General features: G+C 37.0%; 1 protein-coding gene across 4 annotated transcripts in view, besides 1 other annotated feature; it reads left to right on the forward strand.

Annotated features, from left to right (window-relative positions):
- LINC02798 (long intergenic non-protein coding RNA 2798) overlaps positions 1 to 22,017 on the forward strand; it is a 67,558-nt gene that overhangs the window by 7,695 nt on the left and 37,846 nt on the right. The gene's annotated exons all lie outside the window — the stretch shown is intronic.
- Positions 16,521 to 17,022: an enhancer, noted in NCBI's record as "NANOG hESC enhancer chr1:121161647-121162148 (GRCh37/hg19 assembly coordinates)". NCBI's record gives its function as "activates a minimal SCP1, AML or CMV promoter by ChIP-STARR-seq in primed H9 embryonic stem cells {active_cell/tissue: H9 hESC(primed)}" and the evidence as "EXISTENCE:reporter gene assay evidence [ECO:0000049][PMID:30033119]".

A 22,017-nucleotide genomic window follows, 5' to 3' on the forward strand; every position in this document is an offset into this window, starting at 1 on the left:
ATTTTGTCACCACCAGGCCTGCCCTAAAAGAGCTCCTGAAGGAAGCGCTAAACATGGAAAGGAACAACCAGTACCAGCCGCTGCAAAATCATGCCAAAATGTAAAGACCGTCGAGACTAGGAAGAAACTGCATCAACAAACGAGCAAAATAACCAGCTAACATCATAATGACAGGATCAAATTCACACATAACGATATTAACTTTAAATGTAAATGGACTAAATTCTCCAATTAAAAGACATAGACTGGCAAATTGGATAAAGAGTCAAGACCCATCAGTGTGCTGTATTCAGGAAACCCATCTCACGTGCAGAGACACACATAGGCTCAAAATAAAAGGATGGAGGAAGATCTACCAAGCAAATGGAAAACAAAAAAAGGCAGGGGTTGCAATCCTAGTCTCTGATAAAACAGACTTTAAACCAACAAAGATCAAAAGAGACAAAGAAGGCCATTACATAATGGTAAAGGGATCAATTCAACAAGAAGAGCTAACTCTCCTAAATATATATGCACCCAATACAGGAGCACCCAGATTCATAAAGCAAGTCCTGAGTGACCTACAAAGAGACTTAGACTCCCACACATTAATAATGGGAGACTTTAACACCACACTGTCAACATTAGACAGATCAAGGAGACAGAAAGTCAACAAGGATACCCAGGAATTGAACTCAGCTCTGCACCAAGTGGACCTAATAGACATCTACAGAACTCTCCACCCCAAATCAACAGAATATACATTTTTTTCAGCACCACACCACACCTATTCCAAAATTGACCACATAGTTGGAAGTAAAGCTCTCCTCAGCAAATGTAAAAGAACAGAAATTATAACCAACTATCTCTCAGACCACAGTGCAATCAAACTAGAACTCAGGATTAAGAATCTCACCCAAAGCCGCTCAACTACATGGAAACTGAACAACCTGCTCCTGAATGACTACTGGGTACATAACGAAATGAAGGCAGAAATAAAGATGTTCTTTGAAACCAATGAGAACAAACACACAACATACCAGAATCTCTGGGACGCATTCAAAGCAGTGTGTAGAGGGAAATTTATAGCACTAAATGCCCACAAGAGAAAGCAGGAAAGATCCAAAATTGACACCCTAACATCACAATTAAAAGAACTAGAAAAGCAAGAGCAAACACATTCAAAAGCTAGCAGAAGGCAAGAAATAACTAAAATCAGAGCAGAACTGAAGGAAATAGGACACAAAAAACCCTTCTAAAAATCAATGAATCCAGGAGCTGGTTTTTTGAAAGGATCAACAAAATTGATAGACCACTAGCAAGACTAATAAAGAAAAAAAGAGAGAAGAATCAAATAGACACAATAAAAAATGATAAAGGGGATATCACCACCAATCCCACAGAAATACAAACTACCATCAGAGAATACTACAAACACCTCTACGCAAATAAACTAGAAAATGTAGAAGAAATGGATAAATTCCTCAACACATACACTCTCCCAAGACTAAACCAGGAAGAAGTTGAATCTCTGAATAGACCAATAACAGGAGCTGAAATTGTGGCAATAATCAATAGTTTACCAACCAAAAAGAGTCCAGGACCAGATGGATTCACAACTGAATTCTACCAGAGGTACAAGGAGGAACTGGTACCATTCCTTCTGAAACTATTCCAATCAATAGAAAAAGAGGGAATCCTCCCTAACTCATTTTATGAGGCCAGCATCATCCTGATACCAAAGCCGGGCAGAAACACAACCAAAAAAGAGAATTTTAGACCAATATCCTTGATGAACATTGATGCAAAAATCCTCAATAAAATACTGGCAAACTGAATCCAGCAGCACATCCAAAAGCTCATCCACCATGATCAAGTGGGCTTCATCCCTGGGATGCAAGGCTGGTTCAATATACGCAAATCAATAAATGTAATCCAGCATATAAACAGAACCAATGACAAAAACCGTATGATTATCTCAATAGATGCAGAAAAGGCCTTTGACAAAATTCAACAACTCTTCATGGTAAAAACTCTCAATAAATTAGGTATTGATGGGACGTATTTCAAAATAATAAGAGCTATCTATGACAAACCCACAGCCAATATCATACTGAATGGGCAAAAACTGGAAGCATTCCCTTTGAAAACTGGCACAAGACAGGGATGCCCTCTCTTACCACTCCTATTCAACATAGTGTTGGAAGTTCTGGCCAGGGCAATTAGGCAGGAGAAGGAAATAAAGGGTATTCAATTAGGAAAAGAGGAAGTCAAATTGTCCCTGTTTGCAGACGACATGATTGTATATCTAGAAAACCCCATTGTTTCAGCCCAAAATCTCCTTAAGCTGATAAGCAACTTCACCAAAGTCTCAGGATACAAAATCAATGTGCAAAAATCACAAGCATTCTTATATGCCAACAACAGACAAACAGAGAGCCAAATCATGAGTGAACTCCCATTCACAATTGCTTCAAAGAGAATAAAATACCTAGGAATCCAACTTACAAGGGATGTGAAGGACCTCTTCAAGGAGATCTACAAACCACTGTTCAAGGAAATAAAAGAGGATATAAACAAATGGAAGAACATTGCATGCTCATGGGTAGGAAGAATCAATATCGTGAAAATGGCCATACTGCCCAAGGTAATTTATAGATTCAATGCCATCCCCATCAAGCTACCAATGACTTTCTTCACAGAATTGGAAAAAACTACTTTAAAGTTCATATGGAACCAAAAAAGAGCCCACATCACCAAGTCAATCCTAAGCCAAGAACAAAGCTGGAGGCATCACACTACCTGACTTCAAACTATACTACAAGTCTACAGTAAACAAAACAGCATGGTACTGGTACCAAAACAGAGATATAGATCAATGGAACAGAACAGAGCCCTCAGAAATAACGCCACATATCTACAACTATCTGATCTTTGACAAACATGAGAAAAACAAGCATTGGGGAAAGGATTCCCTATTTAATAAATGGTGCTGGGAAAACTGGCTAGCCATATGTAGAAAGCTGAATCCCTTCCTTACACCTTATACAAAAATCAATTCAAGATGGATTAAAGACTTAAACGTTAGACCTAAAACCATAAAAACCCTAGAAGAAAACCTAGGCATTACCATTCAGGACATAGGCGTGGGCAAGGACTTCATGTCTAAAACACCAAAAGCAATGGCAATAAAAGCCAAAATTGACAAATGGGATCTAATTAAACTAAAGAGCTTCTGCACAGCAAAAGAAACTACCATCAGAGTGAACAGGCAACCTACAAAATGGGAGAAAATTTTCGCAACCTACTCATCTGGCAAAGGGCTAATATCCAGAATCTACAATGAACTCAAACAAATTTACAAGAAAAAACAAACAACCCCATCAAAAAGTGGGCAGAGGACATGAACAGACACTTCTCAAAAGAAGACATTTATGCAGCCAAAAAACACATGAAAAAATCCTCACCATCACTGGCCATCAGAGAAATGCAAATCAAAACCACAATGAGATACCATCTCACACCAGTTAGAATGGCAATCATTAAAAAGTCAGGAAACAACAGATGCTGGAGAGGATGTGGAGAAATAGGAACACTTTTACACTGTTGGTGGGACTGTAAACTAGTTCAGCCATTGTGGAAGTCAGTGTGGTGATTCCTCAGGGATCTAGAACTAGAAATACCATTTGACCCAGCCATCCCATTACTGGGTATATACCCAAAGGACTATAAATCATGTTGCTATAAAGACACATGCACACGTATGTTTATTGCGGCACTATTCACAATAGCAAAGACTTGGAACCAACCCAAATGTCCAACAATGATAGACTGGATTAAGAAAATGTGGCACATATACATCATGGAATACTATGCAGCCATAAAAATTGATGAGTTCATGTCCTTTGTAGGGACATGGATGAAATTGGAAATCATCATTCTCAGTAAACTATCGCAAGAACAAAAAACCAAACACCGCATATTCTCACTCATAGGTGGGAACTGAACAATGAGAACACATGGACACAGGAAGGGGAACATCACACTCTGGGGACTGTTGTGGGGTGGGGGTAAGGGGGAGGGATAGCATTGGGAGATATACCTAATGCTAGATGACGAGTTAGTGGGTGCAGCGCACCAGCATGGCACATGTGTACATATGTAACTAACTTGCACATTGTGCACATGTACCCTAAAACTTAAAGTATAATAATAATAAATAAAAAAAGAAGAAATTTTAAAAATTTAAAAAAATAAAAATAAAAAAAAAATAAAATTAAATTAAAAAAAAAAAAAGAAGTTGCCCCAAGAAATATATTTTGGTTTTCAGCTGGATGAGAATTTGGTTGTTAGAGTCATACCATGGAATTTTCATTTACATTAATGTTCCTTTTATTTTATTTTTTTAAGTAGTAGTTTCATTGAGATAACATCCACATTAAACGATTCACTCATTTAAAGTTTTGATTCAGTGATTTTTTATTGTGTTCCCAAAGTTGTACAACCATCACCACAATCAAATTTAGAACATTTTTAAAAGAAAAAAAAATCCCATGCCCATTAGCAGTTACACTCCTTTGTTTCATTTTGCCTGTAAAAGTGAGAAAAGTGTCATTCTCTTACTTAGACTGCTCTTGGAATAAATAAATGTTGAATGAATGGGTGGTGACAGGAGGTAAGTATATAATGCAAATAAGTTTGAGATCAATACACAAATATTTCAACAAAATGGATACAATGAAATTCATTGAGTTCTGTTTCAATTCGTAGAGTAACAAATTCTATGGAAAGGGAACATAGTATTTCTTTTGACAAATAATACTATTATCATATTATCTGTTATTCTTTTTGGCAATTGTCACAAACATTCATAACTCTTGACTTATGGTAATGGTAATTACAGAAGTAATGGTCTTCTGGGAGTACATCCTTAAGAGATACTTAAAATTTGCAAAAAGATTTTTGCAAGAGTTAGGCTTATGTTTAGGACATAAAAAGATGTGAAAGATCTTCCTTCACTCCCACTGAAACAATGTTACCCAATAAACCAAACATTTCGCACTTTTGTTTAAAACCACCATTTTGTAAAAATTCTGTTCCACAGGTACAAATAAATCTAAAAGAACTAAATTACTTTAGAGAGACAAAATCTTTGCAGGTGAGCAATAGATGGAGAACATTTCACCTGGTGCAGTTGCTGAGGCTAGGTCAGCGTAGGTCAAAAAGCAATCTTCCAAACCAAAGATAATCTTTGGTTTGAGGAAGAGAAACCTGCTTTGAACCTCTGAGCTGGTATGAAGGCTTTACATCTAAGGAAGCTTCAGTGCAAAAAAATGCACTTCCCCAAATAATCCTCTTACATGAGTATTTTACTGAGTAATCAAATATTGGGGTCAGGCCTGTAAAGGGAAGGATTTTATATTACCTTGTGATTTCATATTTAAAAGTCTCTTATTTTCATTGTTTTCTGAACTCAGAAATCTTGGGGTTGGTCTTCAAGACACAAAGTTGCATGGTCTCACTGTGCTGCAGTCCTGCAAAAGAGTGACATGACATGGGACAACTGAAACTGTCATATATTGCTTTTGAAAACGTAAAACGCTACAAGTACTTTGGAAAATGGCTTAGCAGTTTGTTATAAAATTAAGCATACACCTGCTCTAGAACCCAGCAATTCCACTCTTATTTGCCCAAGAGAAATGAAAATCTATGTCTGTAAAAAGACTTGTGGAAGAATGCTGCTTTATTCTTCTCCAGTGTCCCCGAAGTGAAAAGAACCCAAATGTCCTTTAACACATGAATAGGTAAACAAATTCATCAGTGGAATACTACTCAGCAATAAAGAAAAACTACTGATACATATGACAACATGGACAAATCTCAAAAAATATGTTGAGCCAAAGAAGACAGACATGAAAACTCATACTGTATGATTAATTTATATTTCATTTTAGAACAGGACAAACTCATATGTGGTGATGGAACATTGACAAGTGGTTGCCTTGGGATGGAGAGTGGGGAGGAGAGTGGGGTTAACTGCAAAGGTGCTCAAGAGAATTTTCCAAGGTGATGAAACTTTTCTATCTGCATATTGGTGACTATATGGAAGTGTGCATTTGTCAAAACTTATTGACTCATACAATTAAAATTGGTATACTTTATCATATATAAATTAATCTCAATAAAATTAACTTTTAAAAAGTTACTTATGAATTCAAATAAGTCTTCTAAACAGTAATTTGCTGAAAACTATTAATTTCTGTGTTCCTTAATACAGAAAAACAACCCAATAAAGAAACTGGAACAAGCTATATAAATACTAGCAGCTGGGCAATGGCATAGCCAAATTATGATACCTTAGTGTTCAATAACATTATTCAGGGAAGTTGAATTATTGATTATTAACACCATGTAGTAATATGGCAAATGTTTAGGATATCCACATAAGCATTTAACTAGACTAAAAACTAGAATTTTATTGATTTCTGACATTGAGATTAATGGGACTCATAAATTTAAACTCTACAACCATGGGAAAAAATCAGTCATTAGTTTTAGTTGATTCTCTACTTACTGATAATGTATAAACAAAATAACAATAATAACTAGAAATTATAATGTCAGCAAAACTAAGATAGGAGAATAGATCAAGCACGTTTGGCTTAAGTGATTACATTTGTAAAAGTTAATTGTCATTCTTTTTCAGTAAGAGTAATAAAAGCCTTGTGGAAATTTGGCCTGTTAAAAATTCTCATTTCTAGCCTTACTGTAAATATTAATATTTGTTAAATATTTTTCTAGTTTGTTTATTTATTTATTTATTTATTTTTGAGATGGAGTCTTGCTCTGTCACCCAGGCTGGAGTGCAGTAGCGTGATCTCGGCTCACTGCAAGCTCCGCCTCCCGGTTTCACTCCATTCTCCTGCCTCAGTCTCCCAAGTAGCTGGGACTACAGGTGCCTGCCACCACGCCCGGCTAATTTTTTACCTTGTGATCCACCCGCCTCGGCCTCCCAAAGTGCTGGGATTACAGGTGTGAGCCACCACACCCGGCCTAGTTTATTGTATTACTAAGTAAATCAAATAGCATAATGTTTATATATTTGTGTTTTTTGTATAAATGATAGTATTAAAATTTAACAAGCTCTTCAGACTGTATATTTTATTAATATATTAGTTTGTGTTTATTTCCAAGTTTAGCAATAGCCAATACTTGTGAAGAAATATCTTAATATACTACCATTTCTGATGAAGTTCTAATATTAAAATTAAACATTAGTGAGAACAAAACAGAATCCTGTAACTTGGAACAAATTCATTTCTCACTTATAGACTATTTCTAGGTAGAAAATTCCAAAACCCCCAAAACATTTAAGAGAAAAATACAGAAAATACATGTCAGGTTGCTAGAAACCATTAACTTATTATCATAAGACCTCCGCTTCTTTGTATAAAACTATAAAAGATAGACTTGCATTTCATTCCTATTTGGTACGGAATAAAATATTATGAAAAACGCAGTGATATTTTAGCATGCAAAAATACTCAGTAGCAATTCATGTGTTCAATATTCTTATTACCCTCAGAAAATTAACCAGTACTGATTTCAGTTGTGTTTGTACCTGTAAACCATGCTGAACAATGACTCCATGCTGTGCTTGTAAAGCAGCCATAAGTGAGACAGGATAATATATGTGAGTTTGATTTACATTTTGGTATTCAAGGGCACAAGATAAAGAATAACTGAGATTTGAGCTATTGTGGGAAGTCTCCAGAGTGGTCAGCGATCAAATAAAGTGAGCCTCGGGATTTTTTTTTATGCATGGTGAAGGGTGCAGCTGAATTGTGTCACTGCAGCAGCATTTAATAAGTAAAGGTAAAGTCATTTGGTAAAGTACTGTATTAGATGTCAGATCAAATCTAAGATAGCCACTACCATAATGAGAGAGAGAGAAAGGTAATTTTTTTTTTTTTTTGCTCAAACTAGAGCTTTCTTAAATCTAAGGTTGCTTTCTCAATGTAGCCATTTAGAAAGCCATCTAGAATGTTTACGGTTTAAAAAAACAGACAATTGACAGTTTTTTATTCCTTCCAATGCATTGTCTACAGAACTCACTCTCACTATAAGTCATGACAGACGAGATTGAGCATGTTTGGGGTGGTGTGGCCATAGACTAGAAGTTCTGACAGTGTCCCACATAACAAATGTCTCCACAACTGAAGAATCACGATTAACTGAATTACTTGAACATCTATTCTTACTTACAAGATTCCCAGGTACAATCTTCTATTTTGCTTTGGGAAAATAAGTGTTTTCCATGAGTATGTTCAATTGGCAAGTGAAAGAAAGTGATCAGTAATAACATACATATAGAAAACTAGATACTTTTCTTTGACATGGCAGAATTTCATAAGGAGCTGAGGTTTTAGGATTAAGCTTTCAAAGTAAGTCTATTTTTGTTGTTAAATATGACTGTTAATACATTGTATGTGGTTTACAGAAATGCAAATGGATCTATTAAACATGATGGGTTTCTCTGCAATGGAGAAGTCTCTACAGACAACATAACAGTCAGAGTTTCACATTAAAGTCAAGACCCAGGCATGACTATTTATATATTTAGCAAATAGTGAGTAACTGCTGGAATTGTTAGTAGGGCCATGGAGAATAAAATCAGTCATGTTTCCTACTTTCATTGAACTCATAGTCTAATGGGAGAAGACAAATGTTAATAAAATAATTATAAAAATTATGTAATTAACAATCTTGAGATAATGGAAGGGTGAGCCTTTTAAGAATATGAGAGTAGATGTGAATGAGCAGGTTTGAGTTTTCTGAGGGATTAATAGTATGAACTGAGGTTTGAAGAATGAGTAGGAAAACCTAGGCAAGGAGAGGTCTCCTAAGGTGAGATAAATGCCAGTGCCCAGGACCTGGGGCAACAGAACATAAAGTATTCAAGAAACTGAAAGTCCAGAGAGACTGGAGCTCCATGTGAAGGGTTGAGTGAAACCTGATGATTAACCAAGCAGGGAGAAGAGCTTGCAGGGTCTGGTAGCCCACATCAAGCAATTTTATCCTAAAATGCATGGGGAAATATTAAAGGGTTTTAAGCAGGAGAAGAGCATGGTCATATGCTGAAAAGATTTTTGTATCAGAATAGAGGAGTTGTCAGCTGTCAGTGTGTCAGGGCGGAAAATAGTAATAAGTTGGTGCGAAAGTGATTGCCGTTTTTGCCATACATACTATTAATGGCAAAAACTGCAGTTACTTTTACTCACTATATTACTTTGACTAGGGTGATGGCATTGGAAATGGAGAGAGATAAATGGATTTGGAATACGTTTAGGAGGTATAGTTAATAGAGTTAGGGAAAGGATTGGGTACGACAGCTGAAAGAAAGTACAAGGGGTGGGTGAAAAGTGACTCTTAGGTTCCTGGCTTGTGAAATTGGAGGGATGGTGGTGCCAATTACTAAGCTAGTGAATCCTGAAAGAGGACAAGATGGTAAGTTTAGCTTTTGCTTTTTGTCGTTTATTTATTTAGAGTTAAATGATGACTTTGGGGCAGGTTAAATGGAAGACATATAGAAGAAAAAAAGGATATCTTAATTTAAAGCAAAAAGATATCTATCCTGAAGGTGTAAATTTGAGAGTCAATACATAAGGATAGTAATTGAAGCCTTTGGCCTTAATGAATTGCTGAGAGAAAGCATATAGAGACGAAGGAAATACCTGCTCTTGAAGTATTTAATATGTAGGTATAAGAGGATACATTTGAGAAAGAAATTGAGTAGTTACAGCCAGAATACAAGAAGAAGACAAAGAATGAACAGAAAACAATGAAGCCGGGGGAAGAAAGGAGCAGTCCACAGGTACAAAAGTTACAAGGAGCCGGGCACGGTGGCTCATGCCTGTAATCCCAGCACTTTGGGTGGCTGAGGCGGGTGGATCATGAGGTCAGGAGTTTGAGACCAGCCTGTCCAACATGGTGAAACCCCGTCTCTAACAAAAATACAAAAATTAGCTGGGCGTGGTGTTACATGCCTGTAATCCCAGCTACTCGGGAATCTGAGGCAGGAGCATAGCTTGAACCTGGGAGGTGGAGGTTGCAGTGAGCCAAGTCCATGCCACTGCATTCCAGCCTGGGCAAAACTCTGTTTCCAAAAAAAAAAAAAAAAAAGTTATAAAGATATTAATTAAAATGAGGTTGAAAAATTTGTTGGGTTACAAACTTAACAGGGGAGAGAATGGGGATAGAGAAGGAAATGGGTGGGGATGAAATGGAGACTCAATATTGGCCACTGGTTCAAGAAATTTGGCTGTGAAGAGGTAGGGGTAGAAGAATTTAAGGGGTGAGGTTTTCTGTTTTGGGTTTTTATTTTTTGTAGTTTTTGTTTGTGTTTGTTTTATTCTGCTTGAAATGAAATATTGAGAAGCCATGGGAATATTTAAAAGCTGATGTGGTTGGGGCAAGGAATAAGGGTAATTGATAATGTCAGGCTTCTGAGAAGACGAAAGAGAAGCTGATTTGAAGTACCAGTGAAGACACTGACCTTCCACAGGAAGAGGCTTAGTTTCTTTATTTTACTTTGAAGAAGGAGAAGAGGACTGTAGAAGGAGACAAGATTACTGGATTTATTTGTGGGAAATCGAGGTAACTCCTATCTAATGGGTTTTTCTTTCTTTTGAATGAGGGAGAGGCCATAACTAGATGTTTGATATTAGACATAGTTTCCTACCTTTAAAATGGAATGTTTTGAGAATTAGTTGCGCAATGAATGTGAAAGCACTGCAATAACAGTTGTTGTTTACAGCACTTATTTCCGTTGTGGAAGTGCATCTTTAAATTTAGAGATTCTTACATTCTTTTTAACAGACTTTCTTTTGACATTATAGTCTTGTTTCCAAATCCTTTAGAGATGGAAGCAATATTATCTAAAGATATTGTGAGAAAAATAAGTATATGTAAAATATTCTATTTGTTGAAAATTACCACATAAATTTTATATATTATTTTACTTTTATAAAGGGATTGAAATCCTCATTCATAAGCATTAAATCAATCCCTTATGGCAGTTTATTTTTGTGTGGAAAGTTAATGGTGTCATGTAAAGTGCTTAAGAGAACTCCAGTACAATAATTCCAAGTTCTATAAAATATCCATCACATTTACATGAAAACACCACAAGATGACCAGGGTCTTTATTCTGATGTTCTTCTACTTCAGATCATTTTATCTCCTTAGGACCAATATGTTCATTTTGTTTTGTTTTGTTTGCCTTCTCTTGGAGACCAAGTTTGGTCAATTCTAACATGTGAGATGAAAAAGAAAATAGAACAAGAGAAGTGGCTCACTCCTGGCCAAATTATTTTAAAAATTGTATTCATATATACCTGGGAAGATTTTTATAATTAATGTTTTAGAGCCACCCTTAAAATAGTGTTGTAATTCCTTTCACAAAATATTTTTAGGGGCTACCGTTTCTGTATAAATTTAGCAATGCCGCTCATTGCTATAATTATAGCAGCCTACTTCTATTATAATTTTATTATTTATATTATTGTTTCAAAAGGCACTACCAACAATTAAACACTTTATTCAGAAATATCATAATTAAAACAAGATTATAGAGTACTTCAGTCTTTGGGATGATCAGAATTTAGTGCAGTGTACTGAGAACTATTTATAAAGCCTACTGTAGCCGACTCTGCGCTTTGCCCATGTCACCTAAGCTCTTAGTATTGCAGTCCACACCAGTAGACTTCCAAGGACAGCATTTATGTGTCTTTGTCTGAGTGTTTTCTCTGGCAGCCTGAGGCCACTCTGCTGTTGCCAGCAGCAGGCTGGAAGTATGAGGAAATTTTCACCCTTCAGGAGCAGCACTCAACAGGATTTAAAAATACCCAGCTCCCTTGCCCTGCAGTCAGGACAAGGCTGAGGTATATTTTCTACTTGGCTCCCAAAACCCCAAGTGGTAACTTGCTTAATGATACACTCTTGTCATTGAGTTAAGTTGTTGCTGTTGTGTTATTAAAGTTGTCTCCATTTCCTGTTTCACTTTCTCACTCTGCTATTAGTGTTTCCTGGAGTCATCTCCCATGGAACTATTTTCTCTTGAATTCCTTTTTCAGGATTTGCTTGTCAGGGAATTCAAAGTAAGCCACTTATCACATTTTCTCATCTGTAATTTCTAATATTACTTTAAAATTCTAAGTACGGTGGAGAAGAAGGAGCATAGAAAGGGCACATGATGCCAGCATTTTCAGAAAAATTAATCTCATGTCCATTGTGACCAGATACAACTCTTGGAAATATCTGAAATCATGTATATAAATTATGGAACAATGAAAGTTATTTTTATTTGTGATTATAGTTCATTTTCACCAGTATATAAAAAGAAAAATCTCTACCATACAATGTATCTATTCATTCAGTCAAAAATATTTCTTGAGCACTTACTATATCCTAAGTACAGTGCTAGGTTGTGAGGGTAAAATGGTGAATAATACTGATATCATGCCTATACTCATGAATCTTACAGTGTGATGTGTAACTGGTAATTAATCTGTCCTCACTCAAGTTAAGCTATGGTAAATGGTATGACAGAAAATATGGGGACCTCATTGAGTATGTGACAGAAGGAATTGATTTAATCTGGGTGTCCAGAGTATCCTTCCCTAAGGGAGTGAAGTTTGGGCTAACAGGTGAATAAGGAGTTAGCTAGAAAGGGGGTGGAGACACATCTGCAAAGAGCAGAGAATTCCAAGATGCTGAAGCCCAAGTTATCCTGGAACTTTAGAAGAACTGGAAGATGGTCACTGTGGCTGGCATAAGGGGACAAGAGAGAACAATGCACCTGGAGCTTTCTTGCAGGCTCCGTTAAGATAATGATAAGAAATTTGTGCTGTGCACTGTGGCTCACACCTATAATCCTAGTACTTTGGGAGGCCAATATGGGCAGATTGCTTGAGCTCAGGGGTTCAAGACCAGCCTGGCCAATATGGCAAAACCCCATCTCCACAAAAAATACAATAATTAGCTGGGCGTGGTGCTGCGTGCCTGTGGTTCCTGCTAATTGGAGGGTGAGGTAGGAGGATTGCTTGAGCCCAGGGGGCAGACGCTGCAGTGAGCTGAGATCCTGCCTTGGAAAATTATTAGATAATTTAAATTGAGAAGTAAAATAAGATGTATAGTTTTAAACAATCACTCTGGACAGTGTATTAGAAAACAAGCAGAGATCACTTCAATGTTTTAAGTAATTTGTGCTAAAGCCTAAAGCTACAACTCAGATAGTTAGAAATGTCAAACTATTTTAAAATATGTTGCTTCAACCTATTTATTAATATGTTGAGATTGCAAAGTGTCTCAAATGCTTACTTGAGAATAAAGGCCAAAATTGAGTAGTCAGTCACAACGTTAGGACTATTTCTTTGTTCCAAATTCAAAGGCACTCTTATTTGCATTCAGTATATATGCATTTTTTTTATTTTTGAGTGCCAACCAGAAGTTTAGCTATTGAAGAGTATAGCAAAGGGAAAGGCCAACAGCAAAATTGTATTTTCCGCATTTGCAAATCACTGCAAGATCTGGTCTTTCAAAACAATTTGGATTAGGTGAAGTATGGCATCCCTGTCTTGTGTATGAATTACAGAGCTATCATTCTGCTACAGTTATGATTATATTCATTGTAAGACAGAAGGCTGAGCAATTTAAAAAGTTCTATAATACAACTTAAAAATTTATATGAAATCGCCAGTCACTTTTCTATTTTCTGTTCTTCCTCTCCTCCGTCTTCCTTCTTCCACCTCACCCTCCACACCCCCACTTCCTCCTCTGTCTTTGAAAATACGACAAAATACATTTGATAATATAAAAAAAACACAGGTTATGCTATTTCAATAACTACAATGTAACATTAAAGTAGTTATTTGATTTTACCTTTTAAAAATACTAACCAGTCATATTTCGGACAATAATTCTAAATCTTAATGAGAAAATGAAATACAGCTTTTTAATGATTTGCAAGCATTGATAATCAACTGTTAACAGACTACAGCATTTTTTTTTTGCTTCTATGTGAATAATCTACTTTGTCTTTAATTCAGATTATATATGTAGAATGCTGGAAAATGTTATGTAAGAAGATGCATTTGTAGCCGGGCGTGATGGTGCCTGTAGTCTCAGCTATTCTGGAAGCTAAGGTGGGAGGATTGCTTGAGCCCAGGGGCATGAGGCTGCAGTGAGCCATGATTGCGTCACTACACTCCCGTGTGGGTGACACAGTGAGACCCTGTCTATAAATAAATAAATACATAAATAAGAAGTTGTGTTTAAACAAAATTTGATTTAATAAGTTTTCCTCAAATTGCCTAGTCACAATGGTATTTCATAGCATGCTTTATTTAATTATTTTTCTTTTGTTTTACTTAGCTAAATCAATTTTCTAGGCGTGTTTTATGAGAAATGCAGTTGGATAAATTCCTTAAATTTTCTAAATGATTCATGTATGACAGTGTAAAGGTAGCTAGTTTATGATAATTTTTTCACTCCTTGAAAATGACTGTAATATTTAACTGCTGTGAAACGAAACTGTAAATTATAATCTACATGGTGAAGAAAGAAGAAATATCTGTCAAAACACATTCAAAATTGTTAAAGATATAAGTGGATGTGTCTGGCTAAACTAGATTTAGACCTCTTAAGCTTTTCTTAATTTTAGAAAGAAAAAAGAGCTTGATTTTTTATGTCAAAACAGAATAAAATAAAGCAAATAAGGCATTAACTTGACCAGTCTCTCTGCCATTATTTATTTTGATTATCCATCCATATCCTTTATCTAATCAAATTATATAAAATTTTAATGTGAAGAAAGAAATTTTACTGCAAGAGGAAAATAAATCTTACTAACAGATGAAACTAAACTGAAGGGAGTTCATAAACAAATGTTTTATTGGGATACTGTAATTAGCAATGACAATAGCAATACATAAAGCGTAATATGGGAGTAAAGTGATTTTTCTTCCTGCTAGGCTGTAAAAAATGTTTTTAAGGGGCATTAATACCTTTCCACTCTTAATGTAATCTTGGGCATCAGCTCAGGTACCTTTTCTAAAAGCAGTAAGCACTTAACAAGGCATCCTATAGAAATATATCAGTAGTATTGCTCCAGGGGATCCCAGGCACTCGGCAGGCCGAGGCAGGAGAATCACCGGAGCCCGAGGCAGGGAGGTTGCAGCCAGCCGAGATCATGTCAGTACAGTCCAGGCTCCGCAAGAGAGGGAGACCGTAGAAAGAGGGAGACGGAGAGCGAGAGCGAGAGGGAGAGGGAGAGGGGGAGGGGGATGGGGAGGGAGAGGGAGAGGGCCAGTCTTCGTTTTTTATCAAGCACGAATTATATAACCTTGTTATTCTTTGGAGAATGTTTAATATCTTAAAATAATTATTTTTTAAGTGTGTGTGAATATCTGCTCTATTGACTGTGTCACAAAAGTATTTTTTCTTTGAATTATTATATGTCTCATTTTCTTCCTCTTTCCTTCCTTCCTTTCTTCCTTCCCTCCCTTCCTTCCTCTCCCTTTCTTTTCTTCTCTTCTTTTCTTTTCTTCTTTTCTTTTCTTTTCCTTCCTTCCTTCCTTTCCTCCCTTTCCTTCCTTTCCTTCCTTCCTTCCTCCCTCCCTTCCTTCCTTCTTTCCTTCTTTCTTTTTTTTTTTTCAGAGTCTCTCTCTGTCACTCAGGCTGGAGTGCAGTGGCGCAGTCTCGGCTGTCTGCAACCTCTGCTTCCCGGGTTCAAGCAATTCTCCTGCCTCAGACTCCCGAGTAGCTGGGATTACAGGTGCCTGCCACAATGCCTGGCTAATTTTTGTAGTTTTTAAGTAGAGAAGGAGTTTCACCATCTTAGACAAGCTGGTCTTGAACTCCTGACCTCATGATCCACCCGCCTCGGCCTCCCAAAGTACTGGGATTACAGGCATGAGCCACCATGCCCGGACTCTCTCTCTTTCTTTCTTTTCCTTCCTTTCTTCCTTCCTTCCTTTCTTTCTTTCTTCCTTTCTTTCTTTCTCTTTCTTTCTTTCTTTTTTCTTTCTTTCTTTTTCTTTCTTTCTTTCTTTCTCTTTCTTTCTTTTCTTCCTTCCTTCCTTCTTTCCTTCCTTCCTTCCCTCCTTCCTTCCTTCTTTCCTTCCTTCCTTCCTCCTTTTTTCTTTCCTTCTTTCTCCTTCCTTCCTTCCTTCCTTCCCTCCTTCCTTCTCCTCCTTTGTTTCTTTGTTTCCTTCTTTCTTTCTCTTAGATTTTTCTTTTATTTGTTGCTGCAGCCTCTAGGTTATATAATTGCTCCTTATTTTTTTGCCACCACATTAAGCTTTTATTGCTAGCAGTGAGTATTTGTTAAGTATGTACTTTGAATAGAGAATGGAATACAGTATGTTTAGAAAATGCTTGTTTTCTAACGCATATAAGCTGAAGAATTTTGAAATGTAACAAACAACAAGATAAAGCTTCTAATATATATCAGGCATTCTACCAGCATTTTCTTTAATCCAGAAAACAGCTTATAAATTAAATATTACTAATGACACATTAAAGAAAAAGAAACTAAGATACATACAGATTAAATAAGTTGCCAGTATTTATATGATTACTAAGTGTAAACCAAGATCTTTATTCATTTATTCATTCTCACATTCAAAGATTAGGAAAAATTGATCCTGCATTTCTGCATGACAACACTTGTGTTGGTGCTCACCAGGCTACCCACCACTCCTCATTGTCTTCTCCTGGGCATGCTTTCTTCCTTATGGAATCTGCCTAGTCTCCCAATGAGCCCGGTAATAGCCCAGTACACGTAGGCTAACCTTGTTATTCCAAAAATCCCTCTAGGGTAGTTCCCAAAGTTGTAAACTTCTAAAAAGTTTCAACATTGATATGGAGTTCCAAAAAAGTCAAGGACAAATCTGTATGGCTCCTTGGAATATCCATTTTTGCATACATTTATCTAGGAAGGCTTATGAAGCCTCTTCTACTACAAGAATCTCCTGATGAACAAGAAAGTAAGAAGGAATTACAAGGTTATCTGCATTTGTGAATTACTCATAGTTGTGAAAAACTACAAAAGAACTATAGGGAATGATTGTTCTAAACCTATTCACCCTTCAATTTAATAACTCATAGAGAATTAAGATATTAATTCATTCAATGACAAATATCTATTCAACACTCATTGTGAACCTTGCACTGTGCAATGTGCTGGAGATTCCTTGGAAAACAGGTTGAATATAATCTCTGCTCTCATGCAGCACAAGTTGGTGGGGGAACAAAACAACACACAAATAAGCAAATAAAAATATATTACTGCAGATTGTGAGAAGTGATGGAACAGAGTGCCATGATAAGAAACGGTATAAAAGTCCTTATTTTAGTTTTGGTGGTCAGGGAAGGTACGTTTGAGGATATGACATTGGAGCTGAGACTAGAAAAATGAGAAGGAGCCAGGGGATAGGGAGGAAGAATTCTAAGCACAGCTAATTGTAAGAGCAATGTGAAGTGAGGAGAAAGTCTGGGCCTGTTCCAAGGATGGATAGAAAGCTAAAATAGATGAAGTTTCCTGAAAAAGGAAGATTGAAGCAGAAAATGAGGTAATAAATTATTGCCAACAGTTTATTTCATAAATTTAACTAAAATTTCCTGGCATATTTACAGATTACAAGATGCCCAGTAGATTCTGCCAGCTTTCTATTGCTTAAAAGTGAATAAAAAGACAAACACAGCAATTAAAAAAAAAGGATAAAAGATTTGAACAGACACTTCGCAAAAAAGATACAAGATGGCCAATAGCATATGAAAAGATGCTCAACATCATTATTCAGAAAGAAAATACAAAATAAGACTACCAGGAGATAAAACTAGCCATATAAATACATATAGCTATAAAAACTAACAATGTCATGTTGGGAAAGACGTGGAACAACTGGAACTCTTGCACATTGCTTGTGGGTACAACTACTTTAGAAAATAATGTGGCAGTTTCTTATAAAAGTAAACGTACACTTACCTTATGATACAGCAATTCCACTACTACATATTTGCCCAAAATAAGTAAAAATATATATCTACAGAAAAGCTTGCACATGAATGTTCATAGCAGCTTCATTGGTAAGAGCCAAAAATGAGAAGTAATGCAAATGTGCATCAACATGTGGTACCTGAATACAATAGTATATTAGCAATAGGAAGGACAAAATCATACACACAACTCTATGGATGAGTCTCAAAAACGTGCTGAGAGAAAGAGCAGATATATACACAACATGTACACATGTACATAACATGTCATACATACATAACGTGTGTGTGATGATTGTATTTACATGAAATTTTAGAATGGACAAAACTGTGTAGTGACAGGAAGTGAAAGCTGATGAGGCCAGCAGTTGCCTGGGTGTAAGGGTAGGAAAATGTTACTGCAAAAGGTCACAAGGGAACTCTTTGGGGTGATGCAAATATTCTAAATCTTGATTGTGATGGTGGTTACATGGATATACGTATTTGTCAGGACTCATTAAACTGTAAAGTGGGTACATTTTTAAAAATGAGTACATTTTCTTATATGAATATTACACCTCAGTAAAATTTGTTTTAAAAAACAGTCAATGGATTTGTTTCTGTTAACGTTTATCATTATTGTTTATAGGATCTTTTCTCCATAGTAAACTAAATAAAATGTTTCCTGTATTTCTTTTAAAATATTGACTTATTTTATTTTTCACCAGTCCTCACTAAGGTTTTTTTTCGTTTGTTTGTTTTTGTTTTTGTTTTTTAATTATTAGCATTTTGGCCGGGTGCGGTGGCTCACGCCTGTAATCCCAGCACTTTGGGAGGCTGAGGCGGGCGGATCACGAGGTCAGATCGAGACCATCCTGGCTAACACGGTGAAACCCAGTCCCTACTAAAAATACAAAAAAAAAAAAAAAAATTAGCCGCGCGCGGTGGTGGATGCCTTGTACTCCCAGCTACACTGGAGGCTGAGGCAGGAGAATGGCGCGAACCTGGGAGGCGGAGCTTGCAGTGAGCGGAGATCGTGCCACTGCACTCCAGCCTGGGCGACAGAGCGAGATGCCGTTTCAAAAAAAAATACAAATAAAATAAAAAATTAAATTATTAGCATTTTATATTATATGGTACAGAGCTATGAGAAAAATAAAGCTTTCTTCTGAACTAGATTAATTGACTGGCATTAAGGAGACTTTTGCCATATATATATTTTTAATTTGGGGTATTGTTGTTAAGGAGTGAAAACTATGGATATTCGGGGGAATTATACTGAAAGTCTTTTAATTATTCTCATATTTTAGATTTCTTATGTGTTTAAGATTACATATGCCTAAAGTGAATGTTTTAAAGTTCCCTAAAAACATATAGCCTGGGTCAAAGCTTAAGTCCTAATACTTTCTTGAAAAAGCAATGTTAGGGTAGCAACAGTGAGGGAAAAAGAAGTGATTCAGGGGAGGAGAAAATGTAGTACATCGTCCAGGAATCCACAGCTTTAGAACAAAGCACCTTTTGCTTCCTCACTAACACTAAGGACGTATTCCACGCAGGTCGTAAGGTAACCCCTGCTACTCAGGAAAGTGTGAGATAGAAAGACAGGACAGGAATTTATCTGCTGGCTTTTTTATTTTTCTCATTACTCTAAGTTTGTGTGGAGGTAAAGCAACTCCATCTTGAATGCTACTCAGATGTGTTGACTGACTTACCACAAATTCTGTCCTTGAGCAAATTACTTCAATTGTCTTACAAATTCCTTTTGAAGCACGTTACCCTTTCCCTATGGTAAAAAAAAAAAAAAAAAAAAAAAACCCTGGGTCTGAGGGAGAATGGTGCAGGGATCCACCATATCCTCTCACCACCACCAGAGATATGGCTAATATTCCTAAGTCAACTGAAGAATGACAAGGTTCGTAAATTGTCAACTGAAGAATGACAAGGTTCATAAATTTGGAGAGGAGAGCTTTATTTCTCATAAAGGGCTGCAGCCTTCAGGGTGCCATTCTGACAGGCTGGGAATTGTAGCCTATAGCCAGAAACCAGAAACGGACACTTCCAGGGAGGGAAAACTGGAACAGGAATCTATGTTGGGCAGGGTGGCAAGTGTACACATTCCATAAGGTATGGGAGGAGTCATGTATATTTGTGAAAGGAGAACTATGCTTATGTGCAGTTGAGCGTCTCAGCCCTCATGGGTCCCACATACAAAAAAACAGCAGCATTAGCATGATCCGAGGGTAGAGTTTTCGGCCCTCTGACGCCAAAAGATGAAGCAGAGGACATGAAAATCCTTACGGCCCGTTCTCCATAGACTGGTCAGTACTACTCCGGGGTCGGTGGTCTTTTTTCAGGTGGTTGGTTGATATCTGTGGTAGAGTCCTTTGAGAGGGCTCCTTTCTTTTTAGCCCCTAGGAAGGAAAGCCTAATGGTGGTTAGCCATTAGTAAGGGAGGGGGTCTAATGAGTGGTGTCCAACCTCCTATCCTGTCATGGCTGAGAATTCAGTTTTCAAGGTTTCTCTGGGGTCCAACTTGGCCAAGAAACGGTCCATTCAGTCTGTTGGGGGGTGTAGAATTTTATTTTTAGTTTACACTATTAAATGTTTCTTTCTGAGAAACTGGATTTGTCAACCTCTTTCTTCTGTCTCTCGCTGCTGAACAATGAGGCATCACACCCCACACTTCTGAGTTGTGTCATTAGCTGCTCGGGAAGTTCTGTCTCAGGCATTCCACAGAACTTCATCTGATTATGGACATGATGGGAAGAACCACAGCCCCTATGTGTCCCTTCAATGTAGGTCTGGACACTTGGGCTGCTGCAGGTCCCCTTGTGACTAGGAAGTGAGGGCTGTGCTGGAGCCCAGCTGACACCTGGGAAGGCTGAGACAGCCAGCAGTGTAAGCAGATGAGGCCCCAGAGGGACAGTGATGTGGAAGTGTTCCAATGAGCAGGCTATCAAAGCAGACTTGAATGTGAGGATCTGGACAGGTGCACACAGTGGATTCTATGCTCTGAATTAGAACAGTCTAGAAGGCAATTGAGCATTTGAAACTGTAACATAACGTTACAATTTTTTTTTCAATTTTTTTTTTGAAATTGCATAGTGGTGGTCGGAAAAGAAAGGAAAATTTTTCCTTCTGGACTATTTTGGGAAAGGGGTTTATTGCTTCAAGCTAATAATGATATTTGGAAACTAATTGTGGATTTATCCTAAAGAAAACAATCTACAGGCCTTTCTCATGAAGGTTCAAATTAAATTACTTTTAATGTCATTATTATACTCTGTATCCACCCTGAGTCCACTTATACTACTTCATCAAATGACAGAATTGTACATTTCAGAGTATTAATCTGCAAAACCAATATTGAGGTTCTGGTTTGTTCACATTTGCAACACAGTCCTCAGTTAAAAATGAAAAAACAGAAAGAACCACTGCAACATCTAACATCATTTTTATGTACGCAAGATGTTGTGCTAACATAAGTTTTAAATCAAAGCTGTACAACACCTTAACCAATACAGATTTAATAAAGTTTAAATGGAGATATAATTCTCATAAGTGAACTACATTTTATTTTTATTTATTTACATTTTAGAAACAGGGTCTTACTCTGTTGCCCAGGCTAGAGTGCAGTGGTGTCATCATAGCTCACTGCAGCCTCAAACTCCTGGGCTCAAGCAGTCATCCTGCCTCAGACTCCTGAGTAGCTGGAGCTACAGACAAGTACCACGACACCCAGCTGATTTTTAAATTATTGTTATTATTATTATTTTTAGTAGAGACAAAGGTTTCCCTGTGTGGCCTAGGCTGGTCTCCAACTCCTGAGCTCAAGCAGTCCTTTCGCCTTGGCCCCCTGAAGTGCTGGGATTACAGGCATGAGCCACCAGGCTTGGCCTTATACAATGTATGAAATGCTACAGCATTTGTAAGTAAACTAGTCTTACTTAACTTACAATTTTTGACATATCAACACTTTTCCATGTAGAGTTTTATAAT

This window comes from Homo sapiens, chromosome 1 (genome assembly GCF_000001405.40).
Source record: "Homo sapiens chromosome 1, GRCh38.p14 Primary Assembly".
In the NCBI taxonomy this organism is placed as follows: Eukaryota; Metazoa; Chordata; class Mammalia; order Primates; family Hominidae; genus Homo; species Homo sapiens.